Source organism: Homo sapiens, chromosome 2, assembly GCF_000001405.40.
Source record: "Homo sapiens chromosome 2, GRCh38.p14 Primary Assembly".
Lineage (NCBI taxonomy): Eukaryota > Metazoa > Chordata > Mammalia > Primates > Hominidae > Homo > Homo sapiens.
In genome coordinates this window covers 190,456,675-190,476,506 of record NC_000002.12, presented here as the reverse complement: position 1 = coordinate 190,476,506, position 19,832 = coordinate 190,456,675, and the positions used below count along the sequence as shown (strand labels likewise).

The window sequence follows — 19,832 nt, the reverse complement described above, 5'->3', positions numbered from 1 at the left end:
TATCTCATTGTGGTTTTGATTTGCATTTCTCTGATGGCCAGTGATGATGAGCATTTTTTCATGTGTCTGTTGGCTGCATAAATGTCTTCTTTTGAGAAGAGTCTGTTCATATCCTTTGCCCACTTGTTGATGGGGTTGTTTTTTTCTTATAAATTTGTTTGAGTTCTTTGTAGATTCTGGATATTAGCCCTTTGTCAGATGAGTAGATTGCAAAAATTTTCTCCCATTCTGTAGGTTGCCTGTTCACTCTGATGGTAGTTTCTTTTGCTGTGCAGAAGCTCTTTAATTAGATCCCATTTGTCAATTTTGGCTTTTGTTGCCATTGCTTTTGGTGTTTTAGACATGAAGTCCTTGCCCATGCCTATGTCCTGAATGGTATTGCCTAGGTTTTCTTCTAGGGTTTTTATGGTTTTAGGTCTAACATTTAAGTCTTTAATCCATCTTGAATTAATTTCTGTATAAGGTGTAAGGAAGGGATCCAGTTTCAGCTTTCTATATATGGCTAGCCAGTTTTCTCAGCACCATTTATTAAATAGGGAATCCTTTCCCTATTTCTTGTTTTTGTCAGGTTTGTCAAAGATCAGATAGTTGTAGATATGTGGCATTATTTCTGAGGGCTCTGTTCTGTTCCATTGGTCTATATCTCTGTTTTGGTACCAGTACCATGCTGTTTTGGTTACTGTAGGCTTGTAGTATAGTTTGAAGTCAGGTAGTGTGATGCCTCCAGCTTTGTTCTTTTGGCTTAGGATTCACTTGGCAATGCGGGCTCTTTTTTGGTTCCGTATGAACTTTAAAGTAGTTTTTTCCAATTCTGTGAAGAAAGTCATTGGTAGCTTCATGGGGATGGCATTGAATCTATAAATTACCTTGGGCAGTATGGCCATTTTCACGATATTGATTCTTCCTATCCATGAGCATGGAATGTTCTTCCATTTGTTTGTATCCTCTTTTATTTCATTGAGCAGTGGTTTGTAGTTCTCCTTGAAGAGGTCCTTCATATCCCTTATAAGTTGGATTCCTAGGTATTTTATTCTCTTTGAAGCAATTGTGAATGGGAGTTCACTCATGATTTGGGTGTTTGGCTGTTACTGGTATATAAGAATGCTTGTGATTTTTGCACATTGATTTTGTATCCTGAGACTTTGCTGAAGTTGCCTATCAGCTTAAGGAGATTTTGGGCTGAGACGATGGGGTTTTCTAGATATACAATCATGTCATCTGCAAACAGGGATAATTTGACTTCCTCTTTTCCTAATTGAATACCCTTTATTTCCTTCTCCTGCCTGATTGCCCTGGCCAGAACTTCCAACACTATGTTGAATAGGAGTGGTGAGAGAGGGCATCCCTGTCTTGTGTCAGTTTTCAAAGGGAATGCTTCCAGTTTTTGCCCATTCAGTATGATATTGGCTGTGGGTTTGTCATAGATAGCTCTTATTATTTTGAGATATGTCCCATCAATACCTAATTTATTGAGAGTTTTTAGCATGAAGGGTTGTTGAATTTTGCAAAGGCTTTTCTGCATCTATTGAGATAATCATGTGATTTTTGTCTTTGGTTCTGTTTATATGCTGGATTACATTTATTGATTTGCATATGTTGAACCAGCCTTGCATCCCAGGGATGAAGCCCACTTGATCATGGTGGATAAGCTTTTTGATGTGCTGCTGGATTCGGTTTGCCAGTATTTTATTGAGGATTTTTGCATCTATCTTCATCAGGAATATTGGTCTAAAATTCTCTTTTTTGGTTGTGTCTGTGCCAGGCTTTGGTATCAGGATGATGCTGGCCTCATAAAATGAGTTAGGGAGGATTCCCTCTTTTTCTCTTGATTGGAATAGTTTCAGAAGGAATGGTACCAGCTCCTCCTTGTACCTCTGGTCGAATTCAGCTGTGAATCCATCTGGTCCTGGACTTTTTTTGGTTGGTAAGCTATTAATTATTGCCTCAATTTCAGAGCCTTTTATTGGTCTATTCAGAGATTCAACTTCTTCCTGGTTTAGTCTTGGGAGGTTGTTTGTGTCAAGGAATTTATCCATTTCTTCTAGATTTTCTAGTTTATTTGCATAGAGGTGTTTATAGTATTCTCTGATGGTAGTTTGTATTTCTGTGGGATCGGTGGTGATATCCCCTTTATCATTTTTTATTGCGTCTATTTGATTCTTTAATCTTTTCTTCTTTATTAGTCTTGCTAGCGGTCTATCAATTTTGTTGATCTTTTCAAAAAACCAGCTCCTGGATTCATTGATTTTTTGAAGGGTTTTTTGTGTCTCTATTTCCTTCAGTTCTGCTCTGATCTTAGTTATTTCTTGCCTTCTGCTAGCTTTTGAATGTGTTTGCTCTTGCTTCTCTAGTTCTTTTAATTGTGATGTTAGGGCGTCAATTTTGGATCTTTCCTGCTTTCTCTTGTGGGCATTTAGTGCTATAAATTTCCCTCTACACACTGCTTTGACTGTGTCCCAGAGATTCTGGTACATTGTGTCTTTGTTCTCGTTGGTTTCAAAGAGCATCTTTATTTCTGCCTTCATTTCCTTATGTACCCAGTAGTCATTCAGGAGTAGGTTGTTCAGTTTCCATGTACTTGAGCAGTTTTGAGTGAGTTTCTTAATCCTGAGTTCTAGTTTGATTGCACTGTGGTCTGAGAGACAGTTTGTTATAATTTCTGTTCTTTTACATTTGCTGAGGAGTGCTTTACTTCCAACTATGTGGTCAATTTTGGAATAGGTGTGGTGCTGAAAAGAATGTATATTCTGTTGATTTGGGGTGGAGAGTTCTGTAGATGTCTATTAGGTCCACTCAGGAAAGCTGAGTTCAATTCCTGGATATCCTTACTGACTTTCTGTCTCGTTGATCTGTCTAATGTTGACAGTGGGGTGTTAAAGTCTCCAATTATTATTGTGTGGGAGTCTAAGTCTCTTTGTAGGTCTCTAAGGACTTGCTTTATGAATCTGGGTGCTCCTGTATTGGGTGCATATATATTTAGGATAGTTAGCTCTTCTTGTTGAATTGATCCCTTTACCATTATGTAATGGCCTTCTTTGTCTCTTCTGATGTTTGTTTTATCAGAGACCAGGATTGCAACCCCTGCCTTTTTTTGTTTTCCATTTGCTTGGTAGATCTTCCTCCATCCCTTTATTTTGAGCCTATGTGTGTTTCTGCACGTGAGATGGGTTTCCTGAATACAGCACACTGATGGGTTTTGACTCTTTATCCAATTTGCCAGTCTGTGTCTTTTAATTGGAGCATTTAGCCCATTTATATTTAAGGTTAATATTGTTATGTGTGAATTTGATCCTGTCATTATGATGTTAGCTGGTGATTTTGCTTGTTGGTTGATGCAGTTTCTTCCTAGCCTCGATGGTCTTTACAATTTGGCATGTTTTTGCAGTAGCTGGTACCGGTTGTTCCTTTCCATGTTTAGTGCTTCCTTCAGGAGCTCTTTTAGGGCAGGTCTGGTGGTGACAAAATCTCTCAGCATTTGCTTGTCTGTAAAGTATTTTATTTCTCCTTCACTTATAAAGCTTAGTTTGGCTGGATATGAAATTCTGGGTTGAAAATTCTTTCCTTTAAGAATGTTGAATATTGGCCCCCACTCTCTTCTGGCTTGTAGAGTTTCTGCCCAGAGATCACCTGTTAATCTGATGGGCTTCCCTTTGTGGGTAACCCGACCTTTCTCTCTGGCTGCCCTTAACATTTTTTCCTTCATTTCAACTTTGGTGAATCTGACAATTATGTGTCTTGGAGTTGCTCTTCTCGAGGAGTATCTTTGTGGCTTCTCTATATTTCCTGAATTTGAATGTTGGCCTGCCTTGCTAGATTGGGGAAGTTCTCCTGGATAATATCCTGCAGAGTGTTTTCCAACTTGGTTCCATTCTCCCTGTCACTTTCAGGTACACCAATCAGATGTAGATTTGGTCTTTTCACATACTCCCATATTTCTTGGAGGCTTTGTTCGTTTCTTTTTATTCTTTTTTCTCTAAACTTCTTTTCTCACTTCATTTCATTCATTTGATCTTCCATCACTGATACCCTTTCTTCCAGATGATCAAATCAGCTACTAAGGCTTGTGCATTTGTCACCTATTTCTCGTGCCGTGGTTTTCAGCTCCATCAGGTCCTTTAAGGACTTCTCTGCATTGGTTATTGTAGTTAGCCATTCATCTAATCTTTTTTCAAGGTTTTTAACTTCTTTGCCATGGGTTTGAACTTCTTCCTTTAGCTCGGAGTAGTTTGATCGTCTGAAGCCTTCTCTCAACTCATCAAAGTCATTCTCTGTCCAGCTTTGTTCCATTGCTAGTGAGGAGCTGCGTTTCTTTGGAGGAGGAGAGGTGCTCTGATTTTTAGAATTTTCAGTTTTTCTGCTCTGTTTTTTCCCCATCTTTGTGGTTTTAACTACCTTTGGTCTTTGATGATGGTGACGTACAGATGGGGTTTTGGTGTGGATATCCTTTCTGTTTGTTAGTTTTCCTTCTAACAGTCAGGAGCCTCAGCTGCAGGTCTGTTGGAGTTTGCTGGAGGTCCACTCCAGACCCTGTTTGCCTGGGTATCAGCAGTGAAAGCTGCAGAACAGCGGATATTGGTGAACAGCAAATATTGCTGCCTGATCGTTCCTCTGGAAGTTTTGTCTCAGAGGGGTACCCGGCCGTATGAGTTATCAGTCTGCCCCTACTGGGGGGTGCCTCCCAGTTAGGCTACTTGCGGGTCAGGGACCCACTTGAGGAGGCAGTCTGTCTGTTCTCAGATCTCAAGCTGCGTCCTGGGAGAACTACTGTCTTCAAAGCTGTCAGACAGGGACATTTAAGTCTGCAGAGGTTTCTGCTGCCTTTTGTTTGGCTATGCTCTGCCCCCAGAGGTGGAGTTTACTGAGGCAGGCAGGCCTCCTTGAGCTGTGGTGGGCTCCACCCAGTTCAAGCTTCCCAGCCGCTGCTTTGTTTACCTACTCAAGCCTCAGCAATGGCGGGTGCCCCTCCCCCAGCCTCACTGCCGCCTTGCAGTTTGATCTCAGACTGCTGTGCTAGCAATGAGGGAGGCTCCGTGGGCGTAGGACCCTCCAAGCCAGGTGCGGGATATAATCTCCTAGTGTGCCGTTTGCTAAGACTGTTGGAAAAGCACAGTATTAGGGTGGGAGTGACCCAATTTTCCAGGTGCCATCTCTCACCCCTTTCCTCGGCTAGGAAAGGGAATTCCCTGACCCCTTGTGCTTCCTGGGTGAGGTGATGCCTCGCCCTGCTTCAGCTCACGCTCACCGCGCTGCACCCACTATCCTGCACCCACTGCCTGACAATCCCCAGTGAGATGAACCCGGTACCTCAGTTGGAAATGCAGAAATCAGTAGTCTTCTGTGTCACTTACGCTGAGACCTGTAGACTGGAGCTGTTCCTATTCGGCCATCTTGGCTCCACCCTCCTGTTATTCTTAAATGACACAAAACTGAGATGTGTGCCTCCCCTCAAGACCCTTCCAGAGTTCTAATTATTAGAAACAATAATTTCTTATTATTAAAGACCAAGTTTCCATTTTCTATATATTTGTAAACAGAATCTCCTTTTACTAGCTACACCATTGCATCAAATCTGAGAAAAGCATCTTAAAGTATATATATATATACTTGAATTTTATAATTATAATGTGAATATAAATTATATCTCCTTTCAATTAGGATAAGTTCTTTTTTCATTGCTATGATGAATTTGATGAATGAGCTGGCATTTTGTACATTCTGTTTAGATGTATAATTATGAATCTTTCATTTTAAAAGACTGAAATTCTCAATCTTTCATCATGACAATTAATCACATTGATTACACCGCATTTGTCTCCTTAGGGTAAGGGAAAATGATAATGGCAATCTATAAAGCTAATGAAATCGTATATAATCAAATCACAGACTGTTTAGTGCAATTAATGATTTAGTAGCCTGGACCGTCACTCAACTCCAGCGATCTTGTCCTGAACCTTTATTTTAATCATGATGCCAATCAGGACTTTTCAGGATGTGGTCAGTACTATATGAGCTAACATGGCAATGAGCTTTGAATAGTAATCCATTTTTTCAGCACTCTTCAGCTACATGACAAGAGCCTTCTAGAAACTTTTTCAGTTGTGTCTTGATGGGAGACAGTACACTGAAGCAAAGAGAACTCAGGGCAGGACATTTGAGCAGAGATTTTTTAAAGTTCATGGAAAAACAACGGTGTGGCTATAAAACTTTAGTTATAAGTCACCAGATGTGATAAAAATAACTGAAGAGATAAAATAATTATGACAACAATCTTTTTTTCAGTAACTATAGTTAACCTACAAAACTAAAAACACCAAAAACTTTAAAAGATAAATATTTTTATATCTTAAAACCACCCTTGGATGTCCATGTCTAATAGTTGTGCACAGGAGTTTATTCTAGAGTTCCTCTTCCTTTGTTTAATCACAAGGGTGTGGATCAAGTCCAGCTTTGTTTGGCTCAACACAAAGCAGCACTCAGGTAACCAAGGAACCATCCCTCCTGATGTCATCTCTTCCTTAACAACCACTTCAAAATCACATGAAACAGTAGGCCTGCCCTTCCTTTATAGAATCAGATGCTGAAGGCCACTGGGCTTTTAGCCACAGCTCAGGGAAGGCAGAGAAATAATTTCAATCCCAGCTGTTAACTTACCTTGAAGAACTTCCATGGGGAGAACAGTCCAGGCATTCTCCAGGTAGGAAATATAAATATAGCGAGCCGTATTGCAGGCCAGGCCAATGTACAGAACCCTAAAAAAAAATAAAAAATAAAAATAAAATAAAAAAAAGCAAAGGAAAATAAACTGAGTCCCTAATATACAATCTAATATGTGTACAAAACATGCAAATATTACCTACCTTTTCCTTCCCCAAACCACCCATCATCCAGCAGACTCCAAACTCAGGAGTGGGAAAACTGAAGGACAATTACATTTAAGCATGAATTTAGGAATAAGAAGATGGCTTCTAACATATCTGCCCTCAGCCTTTTCAAAATGCTTGTTAATATAAAAGTGAACATCACCCTTCCTGAAACTTAATTTGTAGCAGAGATGATGCTTTTTTAAGATAGTCTGGGCGCACTGCCATCAGTAATGACATTACTGGCTTCCTTCCAGGTGGCTGTAGGAGAACTATGCCTGGGATTGTAACCACTTCACTACAATGGGGGAAGGAAGGATAAAAATGAGAATATGTAAACACGAATGTGGCCTTGCTCATAATACCCAAGATACCAAGCAGTTTCACAAGGAGACTCTGAAGGTCATTGAAAACTATCATTCACTAACTACTATAAACTATTTGGAAATCAAATAGTTTCTCCTATCAGTTCAATGGATACATGTTCATCTTTTAAAAAATTCATGGTATCATATGTTTACAAAACTAATAAATATACACCAACCTCTTGCATTCTCTCACCCCCACCATTACCGCTGCCAAAAGTATAAGTAGAAAGAAAATAAGCAAAGGCCTGAAGTGGTGCACCCAAGCATAAGGTTTCAGTCTCTCGTTCTGAACTGGATGGGCTGGTTTGGAAGCAAAGAGTGGCTACTTCTCTGCACAAAATACACCCTAATGGTAGGGATTTATCTTTCTCCCTTGTTTTCTATTTTCTGTTAATTTTCCTAACCTTAATGCTCTGTTTTCTGAATCCAATTTGATGAAAAGTAAAAGGTAAAAGAAATAAACCAACACGATAATCAGTGGTATTTTCCTAATCTTGCTTTTTATGTTAAAATCATTCCTGACTGAGTGTATTGACTCATGCCTGTAATCTGAGCACCCTGGGAGGCTGAGGCAGGAGGATCACTTGCGCCCAAGAGTTCAAGACCAGCCTGGGCAACATAGTGAGAACCTGTCTCTACCAAAAAAAAAAAAAAAAAAATTAGCCAGGCTTGGTGGCACACACCTATAGTCCCAGCTACTTGGGAGGCTGAGGTAGGAGGACTGCTTGAGCCTGGGAGGTCTAGGCTGCCCTGAGCCATAATCCCACCACTGCACTCCAGCCTGGCAAACAGAGCAAGACCCTGTCTCAAAAAAAAAAAAAAAAATTCATTCCTATAAACACTGTTCCCTTTTTCCCAACACTGAATCAACAAAGGGAAATGCTCTCAGACACCCAGCTATCACTAATCTCACATATGGAAAAGAAAGATGAAGAAAAGACAAAAAAGAAAAAGTTGAAGGGTGTGGATGAAATAGGCAACAGATATTAGAGGGATTTAGCAGATTCTCAGTGAAGTATTACAAAAAGTCTGGGTCATCTTGTTCTATGGACATTATGTTCTTTGTACTTGTGTGTTTGGAGGAGAAAAGTACGTTTCAATCTGCCTTAATGAAACTTTTATTGAACAAACTTGCTACAGATTCATCAGTTTCCCTCTGCTAGGGAAAAAAAAAGCCACAGGAAATTAAAATGCAAAATATACTACATGAACACACAAGTTAAACAAACCTGTGCCTCCTTTTACAAATTCTAAGCCAGCCCTGTGGGTGGCCTCTCTTTACCCTAACTCAGGGGTCAGCAAACACTTTTCTATAAAGGACCACACATTAAACAGTTTAGGCTTCACGAGCTACATGGTCTCTGTTGCAGCTCCTCAGCTCTGCTGCTGTAGCATGAAAGCAGCCACAGGCAATATGTAAATGAATGAGCATGGCCATGTTCCAACAAGAGCTGAATTATGAACACTGAAATGCAAACTTCATAAAATAATTTTCATGTGTCACAAAATCTTATTCTTCTTGTGTTTTTTTTCAACCATTTAAACATGTAGAAACTATTATTCTTAGTTCACGGGCCATATAAAAACAGGCAGCAGGCCAGATTTGGTCAGTGAGCCACAGCTTGCCACTGACCTGGCCTCGCTCCTTAATTCTTTTTCTTTTTTTGAGACAGAGTCTCGCTCTGTTGCCGAGGCTAGAGAGCAGTGGCACGATCTCGGCTCACTGAAACCTCCGCCTCCCAGGTTCAAGCAATTCTCCCGCCTCAGCCTCCTGACTAGCTGGGATTACAGGAATGTGCCACCATGCCTGGCTAATTTTTGTATTTTTAGTAGAGACGAGGTTTTGCCATGTTGGCCAGGCTGGTCTCAAACTCCTGACCTCAGGTAGTCCGCCCACCTCGGCCTCCCAAAATGCTGGAATTACAGGCATGAGCCAGCTCCTTAATTCTTAACCTTGGCTGGACATCAGATTTACCATGGTAACTGTTTACAACTACAGATGCCGAGGCCCACACCTATCTCAATAAAGATCTCTATGGTTGAAACCCAGGCATTTTGAAAGTTCCCCAGGTTGTTCTCTTACTGAGCCAGGGTGGAGAACCAGTGGTCTAACTCATTCCAAGCTGTCCCCAGTAATACTGTAATATAATCCCATCATAAAACAATGTTGGTAATCCACTTTCCTAGTGTTCACAAATTGTCTATCCTGAAGCTGTCTTTTGAGCCCACCTCTGAATCAGGGTTGCCATGACAACTGTAATTCAATCCAGGCCATAGTCCAAAACTCCTGGCTTAAAATAACCCAGTGTCAATTGATCCAGTTTAGGAGGTAGATTGTGCTTTGCCTTCAAACCTCTTCCCAGATGGAATTCAGTCACTGGAGTGACCGGTTCACAACTTCTGGGACCCTTAGGTCTCAGATTGCCATCAACAAGCTGAGTGGCTATGAATTTGATATAGCCTTCCCTTCTTTCCCACATTTCTACTTTCACAATTGATAGTCCTTTAGGAGCAAACAGGTACCCTAAAAAAGAAAACACAAAATAAGAAGTATCCAGGTCAAGGTTATTTCATCTCTCTGAGCCTCAGTTTCCTCATATATCAAGTGGGGATAAAAACATGTATTCTGTAGGTTTGTTGTGAAAATGACGACACAATGACTTGCCCAAAATAAGCACTCAATAAATGATTCATCATCATCATCATCATCTTAAGGAAAAGTATCCAAGTAAATACTCTTTGGTTTCTGACAAAACTTTTATCCCAGAATTCCAAAAGACAAGAGCATTCGCATTCCTTCCTCACCAACCATTTTGAGGAAGCCAGTGGCTTCAAGAAATCAGCAAGGGTAAAATTGTGAGCAGAAAGAAAGACAGCATTTGGATCTATGAAAAGGCAAAGAAGTACACGTATATTTACTGAATAGTCACTGAAAAGTACTTCAGTATCAGAATAGGATATTTAAACTGCCATAGTATGCACTGTTATGACTGAACCATGTGTTCCCCCAGTTCATGTGCTGAAGTCTTAAGTTCTGACCCCCAGTACCTCAAAATGTGATTGTATTTGGAAATATAGCCTTAGAAGAGGTAATTAGGTAAAATGATGTCATATGGATAGGTCCTAATCCAATATAACTGGTGTTTTTCCAAGAGATTAGGACACAAGCAGGCACAAGGGAAGAAATAAAAACTCTGGAAGAAAACCTAAGCCAAAGAGAGAGGCCCTTGGAAGTAACCAACCCTACGGACAATTGATCTCGGACTTTTTGCCTCCAGAACTGTGAAGAAATAAACTTCCGAGTTTTTTTGTTTGTTTTTTGCAATGGCATGATCTTGGTTTGCTGTAACCACCGCCTCCCGGATTCAAGCGATTCTTCTGCCTCAGCCTCCCAAGTAGCTGAGATTACAGGTGCATGCTACCAGGCCCGGCTAATTTTTGTATTTTTAGTAGAGATGGGGTTTCACTATGTTGGCCAGGCTGGTCTTGAACTCCAAACCTAAAGTGATCCACCTGCCTCGGCCTCCCAAAGTGCTGGGATTATAGGCGTGAGCCACCACGCCCGGCCATAAACTTCTGTTTTTTAAGCCACCCAGACCGTGGTACTTTGTGGTAACCCAAGCAAATGAACACATTCACTCTAATACAGTTAGGGATTTGCTAATATAAAGGAATTTAAAGCATATTTTACTGGATCATTTTCTAGACAATCAAATTCTTTTTTATGCTGAATATGAGCATATGTTCAGGGTCCTAGAATTTTTTTACATAAGATTATACATAAGATTACTGATGTATAATCAGTAATCTTATGGGCACTGATGTCTGGAAATACAAGACACTGAAAAAAAAAGTCTCTCCACGAGATATAGATACCTACTGAACACCTATAATGATAAAACTCAAAAACAGCATGACTGTCCTATTTCAGAACAGGAAGTCAGTAGTAATAAAAATAGACAAGAAACAAAGGCAATTTTAGAACAGGTGGTTGGTAAACTGAAGTTATCTATAAAGAGGAACACAATTGATAAGAAGCAAATGATGCAGCAGAAAACACTACCCTGTGGAAAACCCAAATCACCTGCCACTCGTTTTTTATCCTGTATTTGAGCAAACTACAAGAGTAGGAGAAAAAAATTGTTACAGATTCTAATTTCTTATATAAGCACAATTCACAGTATTAGCAGTTTAAGCTGATTTGTGGTTATCTTATAATAAAACTGGTATTTTTTTCAAGAGTGTTCAAGATATAGATACAATGAATTATGAGTCATTCTGTAATTCCTAACAGTGTAGTTAGTTGTGAGACCCTACTTTTCTAAATTTAACCAACTATAATATGGCTAAATCCACCCTCCCCCACCCCCACCAAAAGCCACTAAAAACCACAGTGAACATAAATTTTGCTCAATAAACATTTATTAAGATGCCACTATCTACCATATACTGTGAGGGGAGTAAAAATGAAGAGGAAATCTACTTGGTCTTCAAGGGACTTACAGCCTAGTTGGGAAGACAAACACATAAACAAATAAGTTAAATATAATATACTAAGAGATATCCAAAGAGTGCAATGGGACCACACAGGAGAGACCCTTAGCCAACCCTGGGGGTTGAGGCCACCTGAGTTAGAAGTGGTTGGCCAAAGAGGGCAGAAAGAGCATCACAGGCAGAGGAAACAAAGCGAACAAGGGTTCACCATAGAATCTCAAGCATCTGTGGCCAGACAGGGTGACTGAAAGACACAAGAAGGATTACAGTCTAAGGATTTTTGAAGAAAGAAGTGAACTTTTCCAGTCCAGATACAGTCTGGATATTATTCCAGAAACAACACAGGGTGTGAGCAGCAAAGAAAGACCTAAGTGGAGTTATTCTACAATGCCCAGATCTGAGACGCAAAAGAGCAGCACCACCAGAGAACCCCTATTCACCTAATGACTGATGGCAACAAGCATTTTGCAAAGCCCCTGGCAGAGAAACAAAACTTCCCAAAATAATTATAATAATACACTGGATACAAATGAAAGACCCCAGATGAAGATTGTTTTTTATCACTTGGAAGTTCAGTATTTGCCGTTAGACTGACACTTGTCTACAGTTTGTGTTGCAAGCCCTCACGCAAAGATGCACGCACACCAATGCATACAAGGTTGCTCGAGGCCAGGGTGGGAGATGAAGACAGACCAGCAACAAACCAAGATTCAAAAAGCAATGTTTCAGACAGGTCACAGACCACTTGGGCAATTTCCTCAGCTATACCTGGCTGGAGTTTTTACTAGATTTCCTAATGAAAAGAGCTGGTTGTTGACACCAGATCCCTGGAGCACAGTCTACAGTCTGCCTCATATATAAACTGGATTACGTTTTCTGTATGGTAGACAGTATATGGTGCGCCCTTAGATTGGGCTCCATCATTCTCAGCTTTTTATTTTTATTTTATTTATTTATTTATTTTTGAGACAGGGTCTTGCTCTGTTACCCAGGCTGGAGTGCAGTAGCGTCATCACAGCTCAATGCAGCCTTGACCACCAGAGCCCAGGTGATCCTCCCACCTCAGCCCCCCAAGTAGCTGGGACTACAGGTGTGCACCATCACGCCAAGCTAACTTTTGATTTTTAGTAGACACAAAGTCTCACTATGTTGCCCAGGCTGGTCATGAACTCCTGGGCTCAAGCAATCCTCCTATCTCAGCCTCCCAAAGTTGCTGGGATTATAGGCATGAGCCATCCACCTGGCCCCAGATTATCCTTTTATGGTCTATATAAACTTGTCCCTAAAAAAAATTTTTTTTTCAGAATTGTTATAGATGTCTTCCTAGAGTAGGCAGAGTGGCAGACATCAGCTGCTGATTAGAGTGGAGACTCCTGTGCTCAGCACAAGCACTTGATGTGCCCTCCTCCCCAGGAATGAAGCTTATTTCTACATAATCACTGATTCACACTATTGACCTGAATAAGATGATGTTCTCTATTGTCAGTTTAAGAGAGTAAGAAAATATATATCCAAACTCTTTAGAAAATAACTAAAATATAAAGGATAGGCCTTGAAAGAATTAAATCTTAGTCTAGAAAATTTGTTTTCTCATAACTGTCCCCCTCCTCCCAGCTATCTTCCATGATATGCTACTGTGGATATCTTGCCAGGATTTCTGTGTCCCTCACTAGCAGAATAGGGTTTTGCTGTAACTGTCTGGAATCTCTTGTCTTCTCTCCCCTTTTTTTGTCCTCTCCATGGCATCTCCTGCATCCTGTGTCCCACTCCAGGACTGGCTGGTTTGAAAGAACCACAGCTGGCATTCCTTGGGATTCCCATCCCAAGAAGGTGGCCTGAGTTACATCATGGTACCCTCCTCTAGTGCTAGAATGGTGGTAAGAGTGGCCAGAGAGGAGAGGAGACAAGGCCACAGAATCAGTGACCTGAGCAACAGGCAGGAGCTGCTACAGCTCATGTTCAGACCAAGTGCTTATCTAGAAGTAGCAGGGCTGACAGTATCTCTCTCCCTTTTTCCAAGATATGACTTGGGGCACTGGTACCTCTGATTTTGAGAGTCCCACTGTTGAAAGGAATCATCCCTTCCAAGAAGCCTCCCAAGATGTCTCCAGGTATAATTAGTCCTCCTGTCCCCCGCTGTTCCTCTGCTACACTCTTTGTTTCCATTAGAGGACTCATCACAGTCTGTTGCACACTGAAGACTGAGACCCTGGGAGACAACGGCCATGTCTTCTTCCTCTTTGTACTCAAAAAGAGCCTGCCTTGCTCAGGCACTCCATGAATCCATAACATCATTTAATATAATCTTATGTAAACTGATAAAATATGAGGGCAAAAGGAAGCATTACTCTCATGAAAACAGTATTTCTCAACAAGCTACTGTCATTTTGGATGGTGCAATTCTTTATTGTGTGGGATCCACCATTCACTGTGGGATGTTTAAAATCCCTGACGCTTGGGTGCTAAATGCCAGTGTCTGAAACACTAAAATTTGTCCTGTGCACATTTTTAAATGGCTCCTGTTGAGAACCATGAGGTAAATCTCTTAAAACAATGGTTATTCTGTTCCCATTTCTCCATAAAATGTCTGTATGTGTACTCAATATGGAATCAATTCATATCCATATTCACATTATATTAATACAAAAACAAACCAAGAAGGAGACAGACAGCAAATCACGAACAATGATTATCCTGGAAATCTGCGATGATAGGGCCCTTCATCGCCTAAGGAGTATATTTCTGTAGATTTTGAGTTCGTATAGTGAGTTATGTACTTCCTAATAATCACATAATAATAAAGATTTAAGTGGTAGGGAAAAAAGTACTGTCAAATTAGGCATGGGAAAGGCAACCTTTAAATTTTTAAATTAAAAGACTTCTGCTCTCAGATTGTTCTGAAAGTATATTAAGGTTCATGTTCCACACTAAAAAAAAAATTAAAACTGGTAGAAATCATAGATTGTAGATACTACAGTTTAAATGTCTGTATACCCTCCAAAATTCATATGTTGAAACTAATTCACCAATGTGATGATAGTATGAAGGAGGTGATTAAGTCATGAGAGTGGAGCCCTCATGAGTGGGTAAAAGAGGTGTGAGGGAGCTGTTTCCCCCTTTTGCCCTTCTGCCTTCTGCCATGAGAGAACACAGCATTCAAGGTGCTATCTGGGAGGCAGAGAACGAGGCCTTTACCAGTCACCGAACCTGCCAACACTTTGATCTTGCACTTCCCAGCCTCCAGAACTGTTTGGCATTTAAAGCAAGGTAAAAGACATTGCAGAATATTAAGTATAGTATTGTAATATTTATGTCAGAAAAAGGAAGTGACACATACAGCTACATACTTACATATGAACAGAATATCTCTAAAAGGATACAACACTAGAACCTCATATAATGGATAGTCTCTAAGGAGAGGAATTGGGGGACTGCCCAAGGGGTGGGAGAGAGACTTTACTAAATACCTTTTGAATGTTTTTCCAAGTGCATGTCTACTTTCTCAAAGAATGAACAGACATCAAGTCACTGTGTTTCATGCAGTAGAAACAGACCCATTAAATGATGTGTGATGTCTGACCCATGGTTCTCAACCTGAAGGGATCACTGTCTGGGTTTCTATTTTGGCTTCAAAACCATACAACATTCTAGCTAAGTTCATATTTAAATTATTCCTTTCTTTTGAAACTCTTGGGAGATTGGGTGTGGGTAAACCATCTAGTTGTCCAAAGAGTTAAGAAAGACATAGGAAATAGTGTTGCCATAATCATTTTCTTCCTGGACAAAGAAATGGTGTTCTGTGTCAGACTTAACAAGAGTGCTTGTTTGCTTCAAGAGCTGCATGGATCATCAGAAAGTCTACGTAACACAGTAGGAACATCTGCATCAAAATTGCTGATATGAAGAAGATTCTATTATAAAACATCTTTCCTTGTCACCTTGTCTGGCACAACACTGCCTAGCTCTCAGTCCTCCCACTCGCAGGGATGACAAATGGACTCACTCGGCCACCATCCCCACCTGTCTCTGTGTCTTGATATTCTTCAGCTCTCACCCAGCTCCATCTCATGCCTGGTCCATTCCCTTTAATATGTGATTGCAGCATCACGTGCCTCTCCTCACAACACTTATCTTGGTTGTAACAGTGCACCTACAACCTGACTGCATTCTGCATGCAGGGTGAGGACTTTCATATTATGCTGGCTCATTTTTATCCCCAATGCTTGACACATACCAGGCACTCAGTAAATAGTCCGGAACGGAAGAGAAAATATGAATACTTCAAATAGAATATCAATTAACAAATACTTATTGAACATACTCTATGCTAAGTGCTAGGGATATACACTATGCACATATTATACATGTGTGCATACGCGAGTGTATGTATGATTAAGATATCTGATTATGGTATAGGAATAAGTGATGGGTATGTGAAAGAATGAATGGACTTAAAAAAGAGGCCTAGAAATATATTTAAAAAATAGATGTCTATATTCTGCAACATTTTTGACTAACATTAATAGGCTATGGTTGAAAATAAATATTTTTATTTATGTGGACAAACAATAAATAGCTCAATGAGTAGCTGATTACAGTTTGTTTATTTGGAGCATCCTGACGCACTGTGCAATGGAACTTCAGCACATGCTCTGAGCAGATAACAGGGTTCTGCTCACCACAAGCCTATCTCACCAGAAGAGTAAGAGCTAGGATATAAGCCACAAAGCTCAGAGTCAGTGGTAGTCCCACAGCATAGCTGAAGGGACCACCAAGGAGATCCTGGGAGCCACCAAGCTTCTATCAGCCAGCAGGTATGACTGGCCACTGACCCATCCTTGTAGAACAGAGCATAAGAATCACATTGTATGTCAGAGAGTGAATTAGAAATAATATTTAGCTGTGTATATTTTCTGCAGCTACTAATACTTCCTTCTATTGTTTCTGCTAGAAAGAGAAAAGGTAAAAGTAATTTGGGTCTGAGTCTCTACTAGCTGGAAATCATTTTGTTGTGTTCAGATTCTTCCCTCTAAAATGACTGATAAGCTAAGAGTGTAACTATGGTCACCATCAGCAGGATCACTGTGCTGGTCACTGTGCTGTGACCATGTTTATATCTCTCCATTGTTATTTTAGTTTATCTGTTTTTTTCTTAAGTTGTGTGTATCTCCAGGTAGAAAACTAGAGATGTTTAAAACAAAAGAGAACCTTGATTAATGGAACCCAACCACTTAGAAGACACAATATGCTGTTTTGTTGTTATATTTTTCTGTTTAGTCAAATGACTGAACATATTCACACACACACCCCCTACAATTTTGTTTAAAAATTTCCTAGGATATGGCTTAAGGTATACATATGACACAAACACTATAATTTCCTGAGAAGAATCACTGACATTTGGCATAGCCGTTAATTTTAAAAAGGCCTCAAGAGTTTTACTTGACCCTAAGCTAAATTTGACGAAGCTGAACAAGTTCATCGAAACTCAGGTTGAAGCAATGTCATGACCAAATCAAAAGCAGATACTAATCCTGCTGTTCCTGACTGTGGTGAGACACAGCAGGAATGGGTACAGTTAAGGGCATCACATCTTAAGAGATCACTGACGAAAACAAAAGAGAAAGGAGCCACAATATGGAGGGAGGAAAAAAGGAGTCTTGGATAGGATGTTCTGGGAGAAACCCCTAGGGAGTTGGAGAAGCAAAGCTGCAGGTGAGACTCAAGGATGGGAAGGGCTTTTCTACTGAAGAGGGGATGGACCCACTCTCTACGTCAGACTTGGGAGCAGTCAGTACAACAGATGTTCTTGTTTTACCTTCTGCTAAGCAGAAACTAAGCATGATTCTCTGTTCTCAGCTGAACTTGATCCTAGAGCTGCCTGGGACCTCTGGCGCAGGCCTTATGAGTAAGCCTGCCCAAAAGGAGACAGAGCTAATAGAGGGAGAGATGCAGGTTCTGATCGCGTCATCTGAGACCTGGTTAAAGCTACACCTCTGGTCATTTGCTGGACTTCTCAATTGGACAATACAGTCCCCATTTTACTTAAGCTTCTCTGGGTAAGGATTTTTGCCACTTTCACTGAAAGAGTCTCAAGTGACCTCCACTGCCTTTGGAGACAGCAAGTTCCATATCTCTAGAAACGGTCAAGCAAAGGCTAATAACCATCTGTCAAGCACTCGGGGGGAAGGGAATCTAAAACTGGGGTGAAGCTAGGCCTACAGGACTGTATTAGTTTGCTAAGGCTGCTGTAACAAATACCACAGACTGGGTGGCTTCAACAACAGAAATTTATTTTCTCACAGTTCTGGGAGCCAAAAGTCCAAAATCAAGGTGTTGGCAATGTTGGTTTCTCCAGGGCCCCTCTCGTTGGCTTGCAGACAAGTCATCCTCTCCCTGTGTCATCGCCTATCTTCCCTTGTGCCTATCTGTGGCCCCAATCTCTTCTCACGAGGACACTGCTCATAACAGATGAGGGCTGACCCTAATGACCTGATTTTAATTTCATGACATCCTTAAAGACCCTAACTTTAAATATGGTCACACTCTGAGGTACTGTGGGTTAGGACCTCAACGTATGAATCTTCAGGGGCCACAATTCAGCCCATTAAAATGCCCTTCGAGGTCACTTACAACTCCAACATCAAGCAAACTTGAGTAAAGAATGCCAGTATTTTTTTCCAGAGCCATTTCCTCCCTAGACCAGCAACAGAGTGTGTGACACCGCTGGCAGCTTCCTCGGGCCTCAACAGTCAGAGTGAGGCTGTATCCTTAGAGGAGGACTCTTCGCATTTTGTACAACCTAATCTGACCATATTTACTCATTTACTTTATTTCATGAATTGCTATTTGCTTTTCCAGTGGTTGAGGTCAAATGAAAACCTTTTACAAACAGTGCTAATTAATCTGGTTTTAAAATGGGCAGCATGGCGGGGCATATGCTGCACGCTGGCCAAGGTGGTGGCATCCAGGGCACATGCATAGTTGAGGTGGACTTTCTCAGGAGTGGTCATAACTGCTTTGGTTATACTAGAGTTTTGAAAAGATTAAACAAGCATGTAAAGAAAAACTGCAAAACACTGTGCAAATATGTAAGCTACCATTAAATTAAATGCAAATATTTCAGCAATAACAGCCACATCTTTTACAAATTCTGCCTGAGCCAGTACATGCAGAAGTGTCTGAGATTTGGGGTCCTAACTTCCATTCAGGTCAATTGGCTTCAAGGAAATAAAATTCTCTATGTAGATCCCAGCAACTGCTATCATAAAACACATCCCCTATCACTGGCTAGATGGTCTGTTTGAATGGCTTTGTGCACATTTTTGACTTGTCAGCAAAAAACACGCAAAGTCTGAGTCCTGGGGGTAGGGGGCCAACAGGAAGAAGTGGGGTCTGCTAGGTGGTTTTTTTCACATACTAAAACCAGCCAAAGAAGAAAGTTAGATCATTAGAGTCAGAACTGAAAGGAGCCATAGCATCCAGCTCGCTCTTTTCACAGAGACAAGGAAGGAGAGGGCCACAGGGGTGGACCGGGGCCACAAAGTCGGTTGGCCAGTGGAAGTCAAGGTCCCCATCCCCCTGCCAGACCATGCTCTTTCAGTAGGTAATAGCAATGTGCTATTTTCCACACTCCAAGCTCCCTACATGAAATCAAACCTAGACAAGGGCTTGAGGAAATACCTCTGGATTGGACCATAAGAAACGGACTAGCAGTGTTAGTGTAGATAGACTTCTGGACTTCTGAACTCAGCTGTGCGCGCGGATTAAGGAAGCTGGATGAACGTTTATGTTGGCATCAGAAGACGGTTGACATTTTAAACTTTGACGAGTCATTGGGAAGACTGGGGTAAGAGGAAAGTAGAAAAGCAAATGCCACTCAACAGTTGTCCAATATCCTAGATCAAAGGAGAAAAGCTTACCCAGAAGCAAAATTCTGTGTTATGAGAAGAAATGCGCTGAAAGATCATTTCTGCTGAGGTAGCCACAGAAACTGCAGGTATCGATGCTGAGGCAGGACGAGGGGTGAGCCAAGGTTTCCACCTCTTACCTGCAGCTGGACATGAGCTGTATCAAGCAGGCAGACTTTAAATAATCAGAAGTGGATGCT

General features: G+C 40.9%; 2 protein-coding genes across 18 annotated transcripts in view; one reads left to right on the top strand and one right to left on the bottom strand.

The window, feature by feature from the left end:
- The window catches only part of MFSD6 (major facilitator superfamily domain containing 6), a 94,739-nt gene that overhangs the window by 25,808 nt on the left and 49,099 nt on the right, over positions 1 to 19,832 (bottom strand). For 10 of the 12 annotated variants that reach the window (NM_001375989.1, XM_047444824.1, XM_047444825.1 and 7 more), the window contains one exon: positions 6,652 to 6,749. In NM_001375989.1, the coding sequence (NP_001362918.1) occupies positions 6,652 to 6,749 (98 nt within the window). Of the gene's footprint in view, positions 1 to 6,651; positions 6,750 to 6,857; positions 7,015 to 19,832 lie in introns of those variants that run through there. The other 2 variants (NM_001375994.1, NM_001375993.1) reach the window with 1 other exon arrangement.
- The window catches only part of NEMP2 (nuclear envelope integral membrane protein 2), a 227,365-nt gene that overhangs the window by 172,279 nt on the left and 35,254 nt on the right, over positions 1 to 19,832 (top strand). For 2 of the 6 annotated variants that reach the window (XM_017003099.1, XM_047441946.1), the window contains exon 9: positions 7,118 to 7,705. The exons of 3 other annotated variants lie outside the window; for them this stretch is intronic. In XM_017003099.1, coding sequence (XP_016858588.1) covers positions 7,118 to 7,127 — 10 coding nt within the window. In that variant the 3' untranslated portion in view covers positions 7,128 to 7,705. Of the gene's footprint in view, positions 1 to 7,117; positions 7,706 to 13,742; positions 17,782 to 19,832 lie in introns of those variants that run through there. One more of the 6 variants, XR_007068185.1, reaches the window with a different exon arrangement.